General features: G+C 40.2%; 1 protein-coding gene across 9 annotated transcripts in view, besides 1 other annotated feature; it reads left to right on the plus strand.

Moving 5' to 3' along the window:
* The window catches only part of OXSR1 (oxidative stress responsive kinase 1), a 91,422-nt gene that overhangs the window by 34,303 nt on the left and 35,659 nt on the right, over positions 1–21,460 (plus strand). For 8 of the 9 annotated variants that reach the window (XR_007095781.1, XM_011534331.3, XM_017007601.2 and 5 more), the window contains 2 exons: positions 357–498; positions 17,731–17,786. Coding sequence is in view for 7 of the 9 variants with exons in the window: in XM_011534331.3 (XP_011532633.1) it covers positions 357–498; positions 17,731–17,786 (198 nt within the window). In the remaining 2 variants the exon portion in view is untranslated. Of the gene's footprint in view, positions 1–356; positions 499–17,730; positions 17,787–18,307; positions 18,494–21,460 lie in introns of those variants that run through there. The other variant, XM_024453852.2, reaches the window with a different exon arrangement.
* Positions 11,966–12,075: a silencer, noted in NCBI's record as "silent region_14207". NCBI's record gives its function as "represses an Ori minimal core promoter by ATAC-STARR-seq in GM12878 lymphoblastoid cells {active_cell/tissue: GM12878}" and the evidence as "EXISTENCE:reporter gene assay evidence [ECO:0000049][PMID:35858748]".

Below are 21,460 nucleotides of genomic sequence, written 5' to 3' on the forward strand. Positions count from 1 at the left end.
AATCTGATCTTAAAAGCCTATATTGGTTTGTGGTATCTTATAATAGTACTGACGAGCCTGGTTTACCTAGGGATTATTTAGGGGCAGTTAAATATCCTCTACTACCTCACTAGACATCCAAAGGAGATGCTGGCATAACATACTATTTGAATATCAGCCAGCTACTTTTTGTTTTAGATTGGAATTGAAAATAAGTTATTAATTTTAAACTTCTGTATTTCCTCATATTTGCTGTTTTTTTCATTTCTGCACAGTTAAGTTTATGAGAAGGTTCACATGTGTTTTGATTCTAAAATGGATCTGAATTATATTGAATGATTTAGAGATTTTTAGAAAATTATGTCTTCTGTTTTCAGGTTCTGTTCTGGATATTATTAAGCACATTGTGGCAAAAGGGGAACACAAAAGTGGAGTCCTAGATGAATCTACCATTGCTACGATACTCCGAGAAGTACTGGAAGGGCTGGAATATCTGCATAAAAATGGACAGATCCACAGGTATGTAAAAGACAATACTCTTGTGTTACATCATCTCATTAAGGCCATTCCCACTCTTTTACAGAATCGTGATCTCTGACTGTTATCATAGCTCTTTGTATCACTAGTTTTAGTACACTGTGGTTAGAGTCTTAATTATACAGCTAGTAAACATTAAACAAGTACTGTAGTAAAACCAGACAATATAAAAACAGGAAAAATTCATAATTTCGTACCAAGAGGCAACTACTTGATAACATTTTGGAATATCGCTTTCCATTTTCTTTTATATGGTTAAAAAATATCTAAAACAATACTGTATATGTAATTTTGTCTGTTGCTTTTTAAATTTTACATTATATTTTCAGTATTTCCCTAAATTATTAAAAGCTTTTTATAAAATAACATTTTTAAAATTATAGCCTTTTTTCTTTTTTTTTTTTTGAAACAGGGTCTCTCTTAGTCACCCAGGCTGGAGTAGCATGATCATAACTCACTGCAACCTCGAACTCCTGGGCTCAAGTGATCCTCCCACCTCAGCCTCCTCAGGCTAATTTTTAATTTTCATAAAGATGGGGTCTTGCTATGTTGCCCAGGCTGTCCTTGAACTCCTGGCCTCAAAGCGATCTTCCTGCCATGGCCTTCTAAAGTGCTGGGATTACAGGCATAAGCCACTGTGCCCAGCCCTTTTTTTCTTTTTTAATAAATAAGAGCATTTTAATATTTCATGATCCTATCTAAATAATCTATCTTAGTAGTTAAGTGCCCTGTTTAGGTTTTGTGTATAGGTCCTGGCGTACTATTGTGAGCTATGGTTCCAATGATAATTTGATTTTTAGAGCCCTTGCAGTGCTTTTCTAGTCTGATTTTTTTTCTCCTGGCACTGTGGGGACTCCCATTCAATCCTTGATCATGCCATCTATGGGAGTGGAGTGGATTTCCTTGGGCCGGTTGCTGCCAAGTGGAGAATACGTGGTAGATGCTGGACTCAGGACTCACGGGTCTGTGAGCACTCTCCTAGTCCCATCATGTGGACTCCCACCTGGTGCCAGTGGGGCTTCCATTCAGTCCCTGTTGATATTGCCTGTGGGGATGGAAGGCTCTTCCCTTGGGCCCCTCTTTGCTCCTGGGTGGGGAGTGGGGAAACACTGGACCTGCATAGTCCTTTGCTGCTGGGTGGAGGGCTAAGAGATGCCAGCTGTGCTGACTGGTGCTGCTGGTGTGGGTGATGTGGGCCTACCGGCTGTACTGCATATGGGGGAGGGGATGAAGTCCCCCTGTCTGCTCTTTATTGGCACTGCTCGTTAGGCATGGTGGGCTCTCCTGCAACTCCAAGTATGGAGTCAGGGATGGGACCACCTATTAGATTTCTGCTGGGCTGCCCCTTTTCTGCTTCTTTAGGCAGAGAGAGAGAGAGAGCAGGCTTGGGGCTCTTTTTGATATATGTCTGTCAGTTGTTCTGGGTTTCAGGGCTGTGTAATGCCCAGTCTGAGTTATAGCAGATTAAAGGAAAGCTCAGGAAACTTTTTTTTAAACCTTTCCTATGATGTTGAAAAACTCAGGAAACATAATGCCATGTTGTCCTTCAAGTTCTGAGGCCCCTAGCCACTCTGCTTTCCTCTTTTCTCCTTTCAGAGTTCTTTTATGATTGTCTGTTGGATTATTTCTGGGAATTTTAGATACATTTAAAGGGGAGGAACAGGGAATATTTAAAGGGGAGGAACAGGGAAGCGTAAACCTACACCATTTGGTTTGGGACCAGAACTAGTCCCTGGATTTGGAATGGAGACAATTTTATTTAAATCTATTTTGTTCCTGAGTTCAGATTCTGAGTGTGTAGTGTGACATGTTGTTATGTGATACATGGAACCATTCTCCAAATATTTTATGTTTATATTGCTTTTAACATTGTGATGAACACTTTTCTCTGTGATTTTTATAATTTTAAAAAATCTAGGTTTCCATAAAACACATTTTGAAGAATCTTAAAAGATATTGCCAAATTGCTTTTCAGAAATGTAGTGATTTATGCGTCTATTAGCAGTACATAAGAATGGTAGATTCATTGGTCCCATGCTAGCCTTGCCTATTAAAATTTTTAATTTACATGTTTCGATACATGAAGAATAGTATCGATTTTGACATCTTGGATTATTAGTGAGGTTGGACACAGATTTATATGAAGCCATTGGTATTTCCTGTTGTGACGCATCTGCTTGTGATTTTTGCCTATTTTTCTTTTATTTTGAAATGGGGTCGTGCTGTGTCGCCCAGGCTGGTCTTGAGCTCCTGGGCTCAAGCATTCCTCCCACCTCAATCTCACAAGTAGCAGGGATTACAGGCATGTGCTGCTGAGCCCAGCTCAACTTTTGCCTATTTTTCTGCTGGTATCTTCCTGCCTTTTTTTATCCTGAGCTTTTTATATATTAAAAATTACTCTTTTGGCTTGGCATGGTGGCTCACGCCTATAATCCCAGCACTTTGAGAGGCGGGCGGATTGCTTGAGCCCAGGAGTTTAATACCAGCCTGGGCAACATAGTGAGACCTTGTCTCTACAAAAAAATTTTTTAAAATTATCCAGATACGGGCCAGGCATGGTGACTCACGCCTGTAATCCCAGCACTTTGGGAGGCTGAGGCGGGCGGATCATGAGGTCAGAAGATTGAGACCATCCTGGCTAACACGGTGAAACCCCCTCTCTACTAAAAATACAAAAAATTAGCTGGGTGTGGTGGTGGGTGCCTGTAGTCCTAGCTACTCAGGAGGCTGAGGCAGGAGAATGGTGTGAACCTGGGAGACGGAGCTTGTGGTGAGCCGAGATTGCGCCACTGCACTCCAGCTTAGGCGACAGAGCGAGAGTGTCTCAAAAAAAAAATCCAGATATGGTGGTGCTTGCCTGTGGTCTCAGCTACTCAGGAGGCTGAGGCAGGAGGATCAGTTGAGCCCCAGAGGTTGAGGCTGCAGTGAGCTGTGATCATGCCATTACACTCCAGCCTGGGCAACAGAGCAAGACTCTGTGTCGAAAAGAAAAAAAAATTACTCTTTCTCCATTTTTGTCTTTTAGTTTTGCTAAAGATGTGCAGTTTGGGACTTGGGCTCCAAACAGGCAACTTGTAGAACAAAGGGACAAGAGGGAGTCAGGTTATTAGAGCATGATTAAAATCTTGAAAACTGGATGAGGCTGATGGAAAATCAAGACAGGTCAGTGGATTAGTGATCTTTGAAGTTAGAGTAGTCATAGTAGAGTAGTTGAATAGTTATCTCGAAAGATAGGAGAGTGGGGTGTCTGAATTAGTAATTTCATAATTGGGTCAGTTTTGGTGATAATAAGATAAAAAACTGAGGAAGCAGATGACCCAGGTAGAGTGGAGGACGGGGTCTTTAGAGATGGCATCAGTGAACTCAGGCAGGGATTGTCTCTGTGATTGTTAAAGTTTCTTGGGATAAGGCAAGATGACTTGGAAAGCAAGACTTAATGAACAACAAAGAGAGAGAGAAAGTATAATATTAAAGCTGGATGGCATGAGTTTGAAGGGAAATGACTTTTTTTTTCTTTTTAGAGACAGATTCTCTGTCACCCAGACTGGAGTGTAGTGGCATGATTGTAGCTCACTTGCAGCTCAAACTCCTGAGCTCAAGCAGTCCTCCTGCCCAAGCCTCTCTAGTAGCTGGAACTACAGGCATGTGCCACCATGCCTGGTTGTGGGCGAAAGATTACCTAGGTGCCGAGGCAAGAGACTGAAGGCACAAACTGTTTCAGTATAATAAAGAAAATAGAATAAGAATAGTCATAATACAAATTAGATATAGAGATGATCATGGACAATTATCAATCATTATTATAAACATTATTAATCATTAGCTTTTAATATTACTCTTTGTTGCATTACTAATATAACTTAGGAATAACCAGTGGGTATAGGGTCAGGTGCTGAAGGGACATTGTGAGAAGTGACCTAGAAGGCAAGAGGTGAGCCCTCTGTCACACCCGCATAAGGGCCACTTGAGGGCTCCTTGGTAAGCGGTAATGTCAGTGTCTGGGAAGACACCCATTACTTAGCAGACCACGAAAGGGAGTCTCCTTTCCTTGGAGGAGTCAGGGAACACTCTTTTCCACCAGCTTCTTGTAGAAGGCTGGATATTATCCAGGCCTGCCTGCAGTCATCCGGAGGCCTAAACCCCTCCCCGTGGTGCTGTGCTTCAGTGGTCACGCTCCTTGTCCACTTCCGTGTTCCTCCCGTACCCCTGGTTCCTCTTTGAAGTTCGTAGTAGATAGCGGTAGAAGGAATAGTGAAAGTCTTGAAGTCTTTGATCTTTCTTATAAGTGCGTAGAAGAAAACGCTGACGTATGCTACTGTCTCTCTCTGCTTCGGCTACCTAAAAGGGAAGGGCCCCCTGTCCTATGATCACGGGACTTGCTTCACCTTATCACTTAGAAGATTCACCCTCCTTACCCTGCCCCCCTTGTCTTGTATGCAATAAATATCAGCGCGCCCAGCCGTTCCGGGCCACTACTGGTCTCCGTGTCTTGATGGTAGTGGTCCCCCGGGCCCAGCTGTTTTCTCTTTATCTCTTTGTCTTGTGTCTTTATTTATTACAGCCTCTCTTCTCCGCACACAGGGAGAACACCCGCTAAGCCCCATAGGGCTGGACCCTACACCTGGTTAATTTAAAAAAAATTTTTTTTGTAGAGATTGGGTCTTCTTATGTTGCCCAGACTAGTCTTGGACTCTTATAGACTCATAGTGGTACCACCTTGGTGGTCTTGGATAAGATCCTGGGGAATTCTCTGATTACCAGGCAGAGACTCTTTTTCTCTTTCCTTACTTTCTCCTGAGCAAATGGAGTCTCTCTGTCTCTGGGCGGAGCTGTCTGGAGCTGGGGGTGGGATGACACAAGCACCCCTGTGGCTACCAGCACTGGGACTGTCCTGGATCAGACTTGAAGACATCACAGCACTGAGTCTTCCCCAGGGCCCATGGTAACCACTACCCAGCTATTGCCTGTGTTGTTCAAGGTCCTAGGGCTCTGCAATCAGCAGATGGCAAAGCCAGCCAGGCCTGTGTTCCTCCTTTCATGGCAGTCATTTTACCCCACCCTGGGTGGGTGCAGAGATGCCATCAGAGAGCCAGGGCCTGGAGTCGGAAACCTTAGGAATCTACCTGGTCCTCTAGTCTACTGCAGCTAAGCTGGCATCCAAACCACAAGACAGGGTCCTTCCCACTCTTCCCCCCCCTTTCCACAAGTAGAGGAGTCTCTCCCCGTGGCCACCACTGCCCCAAGCTCATGGCAGGTACTGCCTGGCTACCCCCAGTGTTCAGCTGGGGCCCAAGGGCTCTTCAGTCAGCTTGGGGTGAATGCTGCCAGTCCTAGGACTCTCCCTTCAGGGCAGCTGGCTGTCCTCTGGCCCAGGGCACGTCCAGAAATGCCATCCAAGAGCCAAGGCCTGGAATTGGGGACCCCAAGCGCCTGCTTGGTGCTCTACCCAACCGTGGTCCAGCTGGTAACTAAGCTGCAAGACAAAGTCCCCTTTACTTTTCCCTCTTCTCAAACAGAAGGAGTCCCTCCCTGTAGCCACCATAGCTTGGAATGTGCTGGGTCACACCTGAAGCCAGCACGTCTCTGAGTCTCACCTAAGGTCCACAGCAAGTACAGCTTGGCTGCCACTGCCAATTATGCAGGGACCAAAGGCTCCTTAGTTAGCAGATGATGAATCCTACCAGAACTAGGTCCTTTTCTTTAAGGCAATGAGTTCCCTTCTGGCCCAGGGTGTGTCTAGAAATGTCATCTAGGAGCTAGACTCCGCCTGGTACCCTGTTCCACTGTGGCTGAGCTGATATTCAAGTTGCAAAACAAAGTCCTCTACTCTTCCCTCTCCTCTCTTCAAGCAGAAGAAAGGAATCTCTCCCAGAGCTGCAAGCTGTGCTGCCTGGGGTGGGGGGAAGGGGTGGCACAAGCAGTCCCTTGGCTGCCCCATTGGTGTCTCACTGGGTTGTGTGCTCTGCAAGTCTACTGGCTCCAAGTCCAGTACAGCACCAGAACTTGCCCAGGAATTGCATTCTTTGTAGCCTTGACTGCCTTGCAAATTTATTTAGGACCCCAGAGCACTTTAGCCTGCAGAGGCACGGCTTGACAGAACTCAGGTTCTGACTGCTGAGATGGGCAATTCCCCCTGGCTAGAGCTGGTCTAAGTGCTTCCTCCATGGGTGCTGGCTGCGTTCTGCCTGGTGTTGCGTTCTGCTGTGGCAGAGCAGCACTGAGTTCCAATGCAAGCACAGATTCTCTCTCTGTGCCCTGCAGCTACTTCTGGGAAATGGGGAAGGGGTGGCATTGACAATTCAAGACTGTCTTTCCTATCACCATTAGTGTCTCTAACAGTGATGTGAAGTTGAAATCAGGTACTGTGATCACTCACCTGAGTTTTGGTTCTTATGAAGGTGCTTTTTCATGTAGGTAGTTGTTCAGTTTGGTGTTTCTGTGGGGAAGATGATCAGTGGAGGGTTCTGTTTGGCTATCTTCCATTGGATCTTTCTGTGGGTTTAGAAATGAACATTTTCTAAGTTCAGTTTCTGTTTTCCAGTTTGCCTGGGTTTCATTTTTGGATAGGCCCTTTTGTCTCCTATGCTCATGTGCACATCCTCAGGGTTGGCCAGGAGTGTGTGAATAGCAGGGGCCTCTTTGTCTCCACTGTGTACCTTTGGCCAAGAATATGTTCGTCTCTATCTAGACTGCTACAACAGGCTAGTAGAGCCACTGATGACCTTCTCCTGCTGGTCCGCCTTCAGAATGTCACTTTAGTTGACAGTGTCACTGGGTGTAGGTGTTGCCTACCATGTCCAATCAAAGGAGCCTCTTTTAACTGTGGCAGAGAAGCTGCCAGTCATCGTGGTCTGTCTGCCTTAGAACCTCCATGCTGACTGAGCTGGGGCCAGAAAGTGATGGGGCTAGTCCCAGAGCAGAACCCCATAGAGTCTCAGTGTTCTTACCTGAAGTGCAGCTGTTTTTCAAGCATAAAAGGTTTCTCAGGTTGATTTCCAGAGCACTGAAATGGTTGTTTTGTCATATTTGTCCAGCTTTAAGATTGCTTTTTAAGGGGGAAGATTTATCTATTTCTTCACTCAGCTGTAGCTGGAAGACCCCACTCTTCATGTGCATTTGGTTGCCTTGAGATTATCGTAAGAAATAAATACATTTTTGTTCTATCTAAAGAAATTCCTAAAGTAAATCTCTAAAGAAAAAAAGTTATTATATTTTGTATTCTTAAAATTAATTTTGACACAAGAAACTTTGTATATTGTCACATGCATGGGTAATATGTTACTATTATTAATCTTACTTTGCTGGTGAAAAAAAGAGGCTTTATTAGGGGATTTGCTCAAGCTTATACAATGGGTCTAGAGTTTTTCAGTGGCTTATAAGCTAACTTTGAGGGCAATTCTGAATGAGAATTCCCAGGACATTTTTAACAATGACATTATGTCAAGGTAATGCTTTTGAAATGGCAGCATTTTAGGCCACTTTTAAAAAGGATGTTACTCACTTAGTTAAGTGAGAGTTGATACATTATGCAAAGTAGATGTTATAGTCATACAAAATAAAGCAGAAACTGAATTTCTTTGTGCCTGAAATTGATATGAATCCACTTATTGCATTCTTAAAAAAAAAAAAAAAAGAGACAATGACCCTAAATGTATACTTCAGTGGATGTTTTGGGTTAATTTTGCTATTCGCTATAGAAACTCTAGATATGTAAAGGTTTAGGAAAAAGAAGATACTTTCATCGGTGTTCTGAAGTAAAAACTTTGACTTGAAAAAATAGATATATGGATATGCTAAGTAAAAGAGGACAACACAATATATTTAAAATTAATCTCAGTGGCAGACTAAAATTCTATTGAGTTAGCAACCAAAAAAATGTAACTGATATTAAGTCGATGGATACTCAGCTTCATTGATTAGCACAGTCTTTCTTAGCAGGCTTTAGAAGCAGACTGCCTAGATTCAGATCCCAGCTCTGTCACTAATTGGGTGACCTCTGGCAAGTTATTTAATCTCTCTTTTGCCTTATTTTCTCATGTATAACATAGGGATGAGATAGTATCTATCTCATAAAGTAGTTGTGAAGATTAAATGAGGTAATATTTGCAATGCACTTAGAATAGTATTTAGCACACAAGAATCAGTGAACGGTCATTGTCATTATTTTGTACACCAGAGGCTGACAAACCTTTTCTGTAAAGGGCCAGATAGCAAATATTTTAGACTTTGTGGGTGAGATGTTCTCTGTCACCACTACTTTGTTTTTCTTGTATGAAAGCAGCTATAGACAATCTGTAGCTGAATAGGCATGGTTGCATCTTTTACAGAAACAGGCAATGGACTGGATTCAGTTTGTGGACTGTAGTTTGCCAATCTCTGATTTACAGGGCTGTAGAAGATAATTTTGTTTTTCTTTCACATAATAGTCTGGGCATAAATGACATCAGTCCAGTATGATGACTCCATGGAGTCAGGGACTCAGGCTCTGATTTTATTGCTGTACCAGCTCTAAGTTCTTGCTTCATGGCCCAAGTTGATTTCCACCACATCCACATTTCAGCGGAAGGAAGGAAGGAAAGGGGAAATAGAGGTTATGCCATTTCCTATTAGCAGTGGTTCTCAGGACATTTAGCAATACCTGGAGCCATTTTTGGTTGTCACAACAGGGGCTGGAGTTGGGGAGTGGAATGTGCTACTGACATGTAATGGGTGGAGGCCAGGGATGCTGCTAAATTTATCCTATCATGTCCAGGAAGCCCCTTACAACAGAATTACCCAGCCCAAATATCAGTAGTGCTGGGACAAGAACACCTATGTTAAGGGAACAACTAGGAAGTTGTAGAAACCACTTTTGTTCGCATCACAGTGGCTAGAACTTTAGTCACATGGTTATATCTAGCCTGCATGGAAGGCTGTGAAATGTTGCCTTTCTTCGGGATGGTCATGTCCCCAGTAAAAATTTCTTGCTTGCTTTCTTTGCTTTCTTCTCCTTCCCTCCCCACCCCCGTCCTTCCTCCCTCCCCCCTCCCCCTCCCCTCCCCTCCCCTCCCTTTCCTTCCTTCCTTCCTTCCTTCCTTCCTTTCTTCCTTCCATCCAGACATTGAGGGCCAATTAGTAGTCTGTGGCACTTTTTTCCCACAAGATTATTTGATGAACATGGAATCAGAACTGAGGTAATTAATTGAATTATGTTAATTGCTAATATCAAGGTATGCATACATACAATTATCATAATACAGAGGACTAGAATTTTCAGTTTTTCAGTACATTTTTTCTACTTAACAGTGCCGGAAAAATATTCACAAATGTTTCCTCTTTGGCCGTACCCCATTTTTAGCGATTTGTTAACATGTTAACCAGGTATAGGAACAATTGATTAGGTACAGTTTTAGATGGAAATTCATATTGTTTTAAGAGTACAGATGCTTCTCGACTTAGGATGGGTTTATTGGGACACAACTCCATTGCAAGTAGAAAATATCATTAAGTCAAAACTGAACGATCATAAATTGGGGACCCTCGGTGTTTCCAAGATTCCTTAGAGTTTATACATTATTCATTAGAGTCAGTTGTTCTCATTCATCCTCATAAAAAGAAGTTTCTTTTTCTTTGTAAGACTGAAGCAGGTTAGAAAATTTAGGCAACTAGAAATACTCATTTTTTCCTAGAGTGGAATGGTTCTGTAGATGACTGATTTTTACCTATCATGTATGGAGTTTTTAAAAATGCTGATATTCTAGGCCGGGCGCAGTGGCTCACGCCTGTAATCCCAGCACTTTGGGAGGTTGAGGTTGGTGGATCATGAGGTCAGGAGATCGAGACCATCCTGGCTAACATGGTGAAACCCTGTCTCTACTAAAAATACAAAAAGTTAGCTGGGTGTGGTGGCACGCACCTGTAGTCCCAGCTACTTGGGAGGCTAAGGCAGGAGAATGGCCTGAACGTGGGAGGCGGAGGTTGCAGTGAGCTGAGATTGCGTCACTGCACTCCAGCCTGGGCGACAGAGCAAGACTCCATCTCAAAAAATAAAAATAAAAATAAAAAAATGCTGTTATTCTAAGAGTAACCCAGTTAAGGAGTGTGTGTGTGTGTGTGTGTGTGTGTGCGCGCGCGCGTGCGCGCATGTGCATGTTTGGTGGGGTATGGTACCTTGCTTTTTTCTCCATGTTGTGATTACTCATTGAAACCTCAGCTTTACAATTTGTAGTAGTCTGATTTTTTTTTTCTTTTGTTAGTTACTTTTCTGGGTCTTTGCTTTCCTATTTGCTCAAGGATTAGGGTTAAATAGTTGATTTTTAAGATTACATCTTTTTGTGTCTTTCTTTTTCAGCCTTATTTGGTTATTGATTGATTGATTGACAGGGGCTCACTCTGTCACTCAGGCTGGAGTGCAACAGCATGAACACGGCTCACTGCAGCCTTGACCTCTTGGGCTCAAGTAATTCTCCTGCCTCAGACTCCCAAATAGCTGGCCCACAGGTGCTCACTACTATGCCTGGCTATTTTTTTTTTTATTTTTATAGAGACAGGGTCCTACACTTTGGCATTGGGACCTTTTTAAAAGTTCCCCCAGGTAATTCTAATGTTGCCTAGGCTGGTCTCGAACTCCTGGGTTCAAGCAATCCTTCTGCCTCGGCCTTCCAAAGTGCTGGAATTACAGGCATGAGCTGCCACGTCCGGCCTCTTCTTTGGTTTCAATTGAGCATTTCATATGATTCCATTTCGTTTCCTCTCTTAGGATATCAATTATACTTTTTTTTTTTTTTTTTTTGAGACGGAGTCTCGCTCTGTCGCCCAGGCTGGAGTGCAGTGGCGCAATCTCGGCTCACTGTAAGTTCTGCCTCCTGGGTTCATGCGTCAGCCTCCCGAGTAGCTGGGACTACAGGCGCCTGCCACTACGCCTGGCTAATTTTTTGTATTTTTGGTAGAGACGGGGTTTCACCCGTTAGCCAGGATGGTCTCAATCTCCTGACCTCGTGATCCACCCGCCTCAGCCTCCCAAAGTGCTGGGATTACAGGCGTGAGCCACCGTGCCCCGGCCAAGAAGTTCTTTTAACATTTCTTGCAAGGCAGGTCTGCTCACTGCAAAGTCCCTCAGTTTTTATTTGTCTGAGAGAAGTACTTCTTTACTTTTGAAGGATAATTTTGCTGGATACAGGATTCTAGGTTGGTTTTTTTTTTTTCCTCTTGACACTTTAAACAGTTCACTCCACTCTGCTTGATTGCATGGTTTCTGAGATGTGGGATGTTAATTCATACCTTTGTTCCTCTATAGGTAAGGTGTTCTTTTTCCTCTGACATCTATCAATATTTTTGTCTCCCTTACCCAGCTCAGTCTTTTTAGTGAGCCTGTGCTCCTGGGCTATCAACTGCACAAGTGCTTCTCAGTTCCCCCCCAAGGTGAGACAGGAAGGCTTGATGGGACTGAGACTGGGTATTTCCCTTCCCGTAGATGGGTTAGGTTCTGGTAAAACCAAGGTGGTTAAGCTCTGATAAAATAGTTTCCCTTGAGGGTAGGTTTTTGTTTAGGAGAATAGAATGCTTAGGGCATATTTCAAATTGGTTACTTTTTTCTTCCTCCTGTGGGAAATTAGGGGAATTTTCTCCTGTCTATACCCCGAGAATCTCATGGGGCTGTAGGAGGTAAAGCTCATCCAGCTCATCCAAGTGTATGAGTCTCCCTTAGACTGGGTCTGCTTGGGGTTTTTAACTCTCAAGCTGTTCCACACTGAGCCTCCAGACATTTGTCAACTACAATTTAAGTTTTTATACCCCAGTACTGACTCCAGCAATAGTCTTCTGCTGCTGGGCATCTGCTCCATTAAACTGTAATTCTATCTTCCTGTCTACATTTTTGGAGGCAGGTGTTTGCCCTGTGACCTCAGTCTCTGATGGATCTAAGAAGAGTTGTTGATTTTCAGACTTTTTTCCTGTTGTGAAGACAGAAGTGACAAGCTCATTACATATTGAACTGGATAAGATTAAATCTTAAAATTCTTTTACCTTCTGATGTCCAAAGCTTTTCCTGTATAGGTGATCTCTTGATGTCCTGTTTATTAACAAGATAGTGGCCCTGATTTGCACTATTATTACATCTTTGCCAGCAGGGGTAGTTGATAGATGCAACAAAATTCAAAGGCCTGCTTGCCAAATAAACTTTCATGGGACTATTTGGGCAGATTCACAATGTTTAGTCCCTTTGACAGTTGAGGAAAAACTGCTGTCTCTTTGACCCTCTGCTACCCTCACCACACCACCAAAAAGGAGGCCTAGCACTATTTGGGCTCGTTGGGCATTAGACAGTATGTACCTCACTTGGGCATTCTGTCTGGTCCTTCATATCAGCTAACCTGCAAATCAGCATCCTTTGAGCGGGACTCTAAGTATCAGGTTGCATTGGAACCTGTCCAGCTCTCTGTGGCACGGTCCCAGGAACCCCTATAACCCTAATGACTCCTTTGAACACTGTGATAGATGTTATAGGTACATACAGGTTCAGGATTGTTATTTTCCTGGTGAATTATTCCTTTTGTTCCTATAAAATGACTTTTTTACTCCTATAAAGTGACCTTTTTACTCCTAGAAATGTTTTTGTTTTAAAGATAGATCTTATTTGTTGTAAAGACAATTAGGTCTTAAATGTTTTATAAAGATAATTAAGATCTTATTTTAATATAGCTATCCTGTCTAACCTTTGGTAAGCATATCTTTCATTGTGGCCTAGTCTTTCAAGGGTCTTGGTTTTATTTAGGGAGTTTTAGTTTTAGCTCCTAACCTTATATCAGCCCAGTGCCATGTTTTCTATTACCTGTGGATTTGAAAACCTGAGCCCCCTAGCCATTTGGCCAGTTTCCCTCTTCTGTCTCCCAGGTCTTCTTACCTACTGCTCTGCCTCTTAAGTGTCTCTTTCATTTCTGAACCTTGAGAATTTTTTCCTTACTTTGCATCTAGCTGTGTGGTATTTTCCCCCTAATTTATCCAGCATCTCTTTGTGTTTGTAGCAAGGGAAGGGTGTGTTTTGGGTCAAGGGCCTGTATAGTAGTGATGAAAGTTTGTTTTCCAACGCAGCATTCGCCATTTAGCTGGAATGGGAATTCTCTGACACTTTAAATCGTAGACTTTCAGCCTGGGCTGCATATTGGAATATGGGAAGCTTTAAGAAGTTTTGATACCTGGGTCCACTGTCAGAAATTTATTTAATTGGTTTGGAATGAGGCCTTGGCATTGGGACTTTTAAAAGTTCCCTGGGTAATTCTAATATGCAGCCAAGTCTGAGACTATTACTTAGACTTTAGCAGTAACCAGCTCTGTAATACACTGAGACCTAGGCTTAGGAGAAAGTTGTTTCATTGGGAAGCAGAGGCAGATATTTTTAGGATGTCTTGCTACTTCTCGTATCTTCAAAGTCCATTTGTGATTTCAAGTGGATTTGTATGTCAGCCTAGTGGATTAGGTAAAGTAATTTTCCTCTGTCTCTACTGTGTTTCCTCTTTGACTTCTAGGATTTAGAGGTTTTGAGTAGGATGAATGGGTCTCTAAATCAGACTTTTCTCTCTGTATCTACCCAAATATTTTTCCCATTAGAGAGGCTGGCTGTGACAGAAATGTTGGATATTTTGTCAGTTTAAGATATTTAAATGTAGTGTATTTACAGCTTTGGTTTTGATTCATTGCTTTTCTTGACCTTTTTCAAGTTTTCCATAAATGGTGCCTATTGATGAGTAATAAAAATGTTATGGGCAGAAACTTGTGTTCTGTATTAATGAAAAGTCAAGCGTGTCTGTGATATTCTTTTTAATTTTAGAAGGAGTGTGTAACTTTGGGGCAACAGTGACATGTGAGAAATGACATTAAGCAGTAAAAAACAAAACTCTTCTTGCTACTTAAGAGTGGATAGAGGATTTAGCTTTTGGAGCTGCTGACTTGCTTGATATTCTTTGTGGCAGAGTAAAAAAGTTCTTTAACTGGGGACTATATTGATTTCCAGATATTTAGTTACAAATCTTTTCCTTGAAAGGTTTGTTGTCCTGTTTGAGGGCAGACTGTGGTGTTTTTTATTGTCCAGTGAATTGTGCTATTCTGCTTTTACTCCTGGAAGCTATTCTACAGATTGTACTTTTGGTTTCAAAAGGGAAACATGGATTGATTATCTGGGGCATTGATCAGGAAAAGTAGTCACTCAAAGTGCAGGCTCTGCTGAGAATGGATTATTGTCTCTTCACTTATGAAAGACTAAAACTTATAAAACAGGATTTGAGTGAGTAATATGTATATATGGCTTTAAAAATTCAAACAGCACAAAATGGTGTATGGTACAAAATAAGTCTTCTCAGCATCACTGATGTTAAATTATTTGATAGTATGTCTTTCCTGTGATGTCATGAAAATGGCACCTTACTTTTATGGTTTTCCTTACAAAATCCCCTGACACCAATCTAACCATGAAAAAAACATTGTATACATTCCAGTAGAGTGGCATTCTACAAAATGCTTGACCATTACTCCTCAAAACTGTCAAGATTCTCAAAAACAAAGAAAACGTGAAAAACTGTCACAACCAAAAGGAGCCTAAGGAGACATTGCAGCTGAATATAGTATAATATGGTATCCTGGGCAGGATCCTGGGACTGAAAAAGGACATTAGTTAAAAAGTAAAGAAATCTGAATAAACTGTGGACTTTATCTAATCATGATATGTGAATACTGGTTCATTTATTGTAGCAAAAGTACTGAACTAATATAAGATGTTAATAATAGGGGAAACTAAGTGTGAGGTGTGTAGGAACTCCTGTGCACTAACTTCTCAACTTTTACGTAAATCTGAAACTGTCCTAAAACATAAACTATTAAGTCTTCTTCTTTTTATGAATCCACAATACCCTGGTCCAAAGGGAATCACTTGTTGCCATTTTCTTGTGACTCCTTTGAGAGATATTTTATGTCAATATAAGCATAATGTATGTCTCTGTGTCATGTTTTTCTTTTAAAGAAAATACAAATGGCCACATACTTTATTTAGCATTCATTTTTCCCTTAATAATGTATTTGGAGATAGTTCCATGTCAACATGTATGTTCATTAGTATTCAAAGTATTTTATGGTTTAGATACACCACAGCTTAACTGGTCTCCTTTTGATGGATAATTAGATTGTTCCCATTTTTGACTGTAACATATTAGTTTATAACCCCGACGTTTGGAACAGAGTTAGGAGGTGGGGAGTAGGGATTGGGGAAGCAGGGAGGGAACAGTGTGTGGTTGGCATTTTTTCTTTTTTATTTTATACACTACTTTTTTTTTTTTTTTCCCAGGAAGAGGATTTGAGGCAGGTCATCTCCTCAATGGTTATGTAATAGTTGTTAAAAATTTAAATAGTTATTTAAATCTATTTGAAGAATATCTCTTCCTATTTGCAGAATGCTTCCTGTATACTAATAATAATGCTAAGTAAGTACAGGTGACTATAGTAGTATATTAAGATACAGGCCCAGATCTAGCTCATGGTGAAATAAGGAAGGGAGACAGACCTAGAAATATGATCATATAATACTCCTTGCTAACATTATAGTACAGCCTTCTGCAAAAACACAGAGAAGGGAGTGACTAAACTATACTTTTCTTCCCTCATTGGGTTTTAGGTGAGCTCAGAAAAGGGAGTTGGAAGTTAGTGGTTGACTCAGTTGGATGATCTTTGTCACAAAGGAAAGAGAATGTCCTCTATTCTCTCCTGTTTGTAGTGACTAGAATCTGAGACTAGATTCATGGAGTAAAGCAGGCTGGCCTGCACTCTACTAAGTCAGCCTCTGGGAGAACTACCTATAAATTGCTTGGGATTATAAGCAGTACAAAATACTCAGGAACATGATTTCCTTATGTTTCAGTGTATACTCAGGAAAGGCATTGTATACTGTAGTATGATGCTGCTTCTGCACACAGTTGTGAAACTCTTGTTCATTGTTTGCCAAGGAATGGTTATATCTAAACATGGAGGAAAAAGGGGACCAGGGATAGGATGAAGTGCTGCGCTTTTCACTGGCTCCTTTTCATGACAAATAAGACGTTCTTCCATGAGCAGGCCTTGCTTTTCTTTCTTGTGTAGCTTCAAGGGCTACCTTTCTTTTGCTTATTTGATTATATTTACTTTTAATTACAAAATGACTGTATTTCCACAAGTTATTCAGACACTGTTCCCTAGACTTCAATTCCATTAATCTCCACAAAAATTGCATTTGGCAAGGGAAAGGGGTGTGTTTGTGCAACATTAATGGTGTCATGAAATGCACTGGTCTCTTATTTGATTTGTTCATTTAATAATGTATGTTAGCATTTCATGTCACAACATGTTGATTGACATTATTTCATGGATGTAATAGAAATAATTTAACCTTTCTACTGTTGCTGGCTGTTACTAGTTTTTGTTTTTTATTACAAACAATGCTGCAGTAGAACCCCCTTGTACTTTCCCTGTAAATTGTGAGAGTTCCTCTAGGTTATCAAGAAATGGTTTTGCTACTCTTAGGATTTGGGGATTTTAAATTTTGCCAAAAACTTGTTTTTGCTAAAAAAAAACTAAGTTGTAGATTTGAATGGATAGTATAATATTGTTTACATTGGGAGAAAAGCCCAGATATGTCATCGGTATATAGTCTGTTAACCAGACTGATAATAGTTGAAAACTTTGGAGAGAGTACTTAGACTTGAGAATGATGGTCAAAGGGATTTTGGCTTTTTTAGTTGTGTTTAGGTTTTTAAAACAAGAATATTTTTCTATATTACGTGTTATAAATAGTTAAAACTATAGAGATGCCTGAGTAATTTCCATCTTTTTGTTACAGGCAAAGAATGTTCCCTGTTTTCAGTTGCATACTGATGATTTTAAAAATTTGATAATTCATTGGGGTATAGAAAAAAATATATTTCAAAATGTAGAATTAGGTGAGGGTCACATTCTTTGGCCACTTTTATCCCGATCAAGAATATTTGATCACTTGTGTTTTCTAGATATTATAGTAAGAACCTTTCTAGCTTTCTTTTTAATGTGTGGGTTTCTAGTACCAGTGACAACAATTTTACTATTAGTCTTAATATCCTTTAATATAAAATAGGACATTTAAATATTGCTAGTATTACATGAATATAGTAAACAATTGCTTAAATTATGTTACTCCAAAGAATAGATGTTTTTTGATACATAACTTTTTTTTTTTTTTTAAAGAGATGTGAAAGCTGGAAACATTCTTCTTGGAGAAGATGGCTCAGTACAGATTGCAGGTAATGATTAGTATTTCTTTTTATTTGATTTAATGGTCAGTAGAACCACATTACTTATCTTTTATGTTTCCTTAATCAGCATTCTCTCCTGTTCCCTGGACCATCTCTATTCAAGCATCCTCTGTTGGCATGTCATAGGATGCCACCGACTCTCAAGATATCTTCTCATACTCATCCTTCATTTCTGCTCTTAGACATTTTTTTCTGACCATTACTTGTTTCCTTCCAGCTATCCACTCCTTACTTCCATTAGGGTCTTCTGCTATGGGTTCTCATAGCATTCTGTACTTTCCTTTAAAGGAAAAGTAGTTGAGGATCTTCATTGTGTTTAAGAATAAGTACGTTATATAGAGGCTATACAGAGCTTCTTCTGTCCTGGGGGAAATGGAGTATTTGTCAATTAGGAAAAAGTGCCTGAGAAGTAGAAGTGCACTTTTGGCAGTTTCAGAGCTGAAGGGATAAGAGTTGCAGTCCAGGGCCTACCAAAAGTGGCTATCCTGATGAAACACCCCCTCCTCCAGGCTGAGACTCCAGAATGACTGTACCCAGGGATTGTCTAGCAAGCAGATCATCTGAGAAAACCTCAGCTTGGTCCCAGACTGCTAGAACAGTCAGGTGTTTGGCAGGAGGAAGATAATCACCCAAATCTTAAATTATTTCTTCATCTTTAAGAAGATAATTTAGGCGAACATCTTCATGTCCGTGAGGTAAGGAAATATTTTAACCAAGTCACATAAAGCTCTAATATAAAGGGAAAGATTGATAAATTTGACTCCTTTAAAATGAGCAACTTCTACTCATCAAAAGAGGAACAAATGGTTTATTACTATTAACAGAGTAAAAGGGTAAACCACAGAGTAGAGAAGATATTTGCAGCATGAATAATTGTTAAAGGGCTCAAGTGTAAAGCGTATAAAAAACTCACTGAGAGAAAAAAAAACTCTAAAAAAGTGGGCAGAAAACTGGCATAGGCACTTCCCAAATGAAGACATCCAAATATAAATGTAGTAAAAGATGTTCAAGCTTACACTAGTAATTTGTTAAATGCAAAGTAAAATCACATTGTGATAACACGTTAAATTGATTGGCCTGGCAAAAACATCTTGACAGTACTAATTGTTGGTGTGGGTATAAAGCAAGGAAAAAAATCTCATTTCTGATGATGGGAATATAAATTGGTACAACCATTTCATTACAGTTGAAGATATGCATACTGTTAGACTTTTGCTCCTAGGTGTATAGCCCAGAGAAACTCGTCCGTATCTGTGCCACAGTGTTCATAGTCATTACAAGTTTGAAATAATCCCAATGCCAGTAGAATGGATAAATAAATTGTGGTTAATTATATACTGGAATACCGGGTTTTTGTTTGTTTGTTTGTTTGTTTGTTTTTTTTGAGACAGTCTCGCTCTGTTGCCCAGGCTGGAGTGCAGTGGTGCACTCTTGGCTCACTGCAACCTGTGCCTTCCAGGTTCAAAAGATTCTTGTGCCTCAGCCTCCCAAGTAGTTGGGATTACAGGCGTGCACCCCTCCACCGACTAATTTTTGTATTTGTAGTAGAGACAGTGTTTCTCCATGTTGGCCAGGCTGGTCCTGAACTGTACCCACTAAAAAATAATTCCTCATTCCACCTCTCACCCCAGCCATGGGTGACCACCATTCTCCTTTCTGTCTCCATGAATTTGACTACTTTAAGTACCTAAGTGAACTCATACAATATTTGTCCTTTTGTGATTGACTTTATTTCATTTTGTATAATGTCTTTAAGGTTCATGTTGTAGTGTCAGAATTTCATTACTTTTTAAAGCTGAATAATAATTCCATTGTATTTACGTGCTGCATTTTGTTTATCCATTCATTCATCAATGGGCATTTGAATTGCTTCCACCTTTTGGTCATTATGAATAATGCTGCTGTGAACACGAGTGTCCAAATATCTGTCTGAGTTTCTTGCTTTCATTTCTTTTGGGTATATCCTCATAAGTAGAATTGCTGGATCGTATAGTTATTCTGTGTTTAAGTTTTTGAGGAATTGCTGTATTATTTTTCATAGCAGCTGTACCATTTTACATTCCCACCAAGAGTGCACAAGAATCCAATTTCTCCACATTCCCACCAAGAGTGCACAAGAATCCAATTTCTCCACATCCTCACCAACGCTTGTTAGTTTCTGGGTTTTTTGTTTTTTCAGGTGGTAGCCATTCTAAGGGATGTAAGGTGTTATCTATCTCATTGTGGTTTTGATTTGTATTTCCCTATTGATTAGTGATGGTGAACATCTTTTCATGTGCTTATTGGCCATTTGTATATCTTCTTTGGAGAAATGACTCCTTAATTCCTTTGCCCATTTTTAAATTGGAGTGTTTATTTTATTTTTGTTGTTGTTGTTGAATTGTAGGAGTTCTTTACATATTTTGGATGCCAATCCCTTATCAGATGTATGATTTGCAAAATATTTTCTCCCAGTCTGTGGGTTGCCTTTCACTGTGTTGATAGTGACCTTTGATGCACAAAAGTTTTAAAATTTTGATTATCTACTTTTTCTTTTGTTGCCTGAAATTTGGTATTATATCTCAGAAATCATTGCTAACGCCAGTGTCATGAAGCTTTTCTCCTATGTTTTAAGAGTTTTTATAGTTTAGGGGCTTCTAACTTTTTCATACCTTATTACAGATAACACTTATTATAATGTATTATAATTGCCTGATTCCACCTTCTATATTAGAAGTTGCACAAAGGGGGGGACCTTGTCTTCCTTGATCATTACTTTTAATCCTGTCACATAATAGGCACCAAAGTCCATCTTGAACTTTAATTGAAATTTTGTTAATGAAGGAACTAAATTATTTTTTTCACATCTAAGTTACTCTTTCTCTTTAGTTGGCAATTTAAAACGAAAGGCAAATGGCATTTTTGCTCTTTGGTTTCTGTTTTTAACTTTATGGTTGGATTGATTATGTTTCCTTAGCATTGTAGCTGTGCAGGTTATTTAACAAGAATATTTTGGTAAAGGGGGTATTATCACTTACATTCCTTAGCTAAATGTTTTAACTAGTCTTCAGGGTTCACTTGGAAACAAGCAGAGGTATACCAGCTGAAGATACAAAAATTCTGGATCATTATTAAGTTCTGGGTTTAAAATTCTGAATATTTTAAAGCTACTTGAAGGTTTTTAGTAGGTTTTAAAAAGTAAAAACTCTTCATAATTCAACCTAAAAAATATGTTGTATATACATAAGTTGTTTGAGTCTTTATCATATTTAAGTATTTTAAGGCACGACTTTGTCTCTCTGGTTAGTGATAAGAATACCTAGTACTTATTGAGTGTTTAGTATTAAAATATATTACAGGGACTGTTCTAAGTATATTATTAAGTCATTTAATCCTTAACAACGACCTTGTTAAGTAAGTACTGTTACTGCCTCCTTTTTACAGATGAAGAAATTGTAGCACAAAGATTGAAAATACCTGCCCAAGTTCAGCTGACTAGTGGCAGAGCTGAATGCACTAAATGTACTTTTTCCCCTTCATATGCACTTCAAATTGTTTACTTTGTTATTGTTGTTACAAATGGAACATTTTAAAGTTTTTAGATATTTCCCGGTTTAGGAGTATTGAAAACTGTTAAGATGATGATGATGATGATGATGATGATGATGATGATGATGATTTTA

The sequence above is a fragment of the Homo sapiens genome, chromosome 3 (genome assembly GCF_000001405.40).
Source record: "Homo sapiens chromosome 3, GRCh38.p14 Primary Assembly".
Classification (NCBI taxonomy): Eukaryota; Metazoa; Chordata; class Mammalia; order Primates; family Hominidae; genus Homo; species Homo sapiens.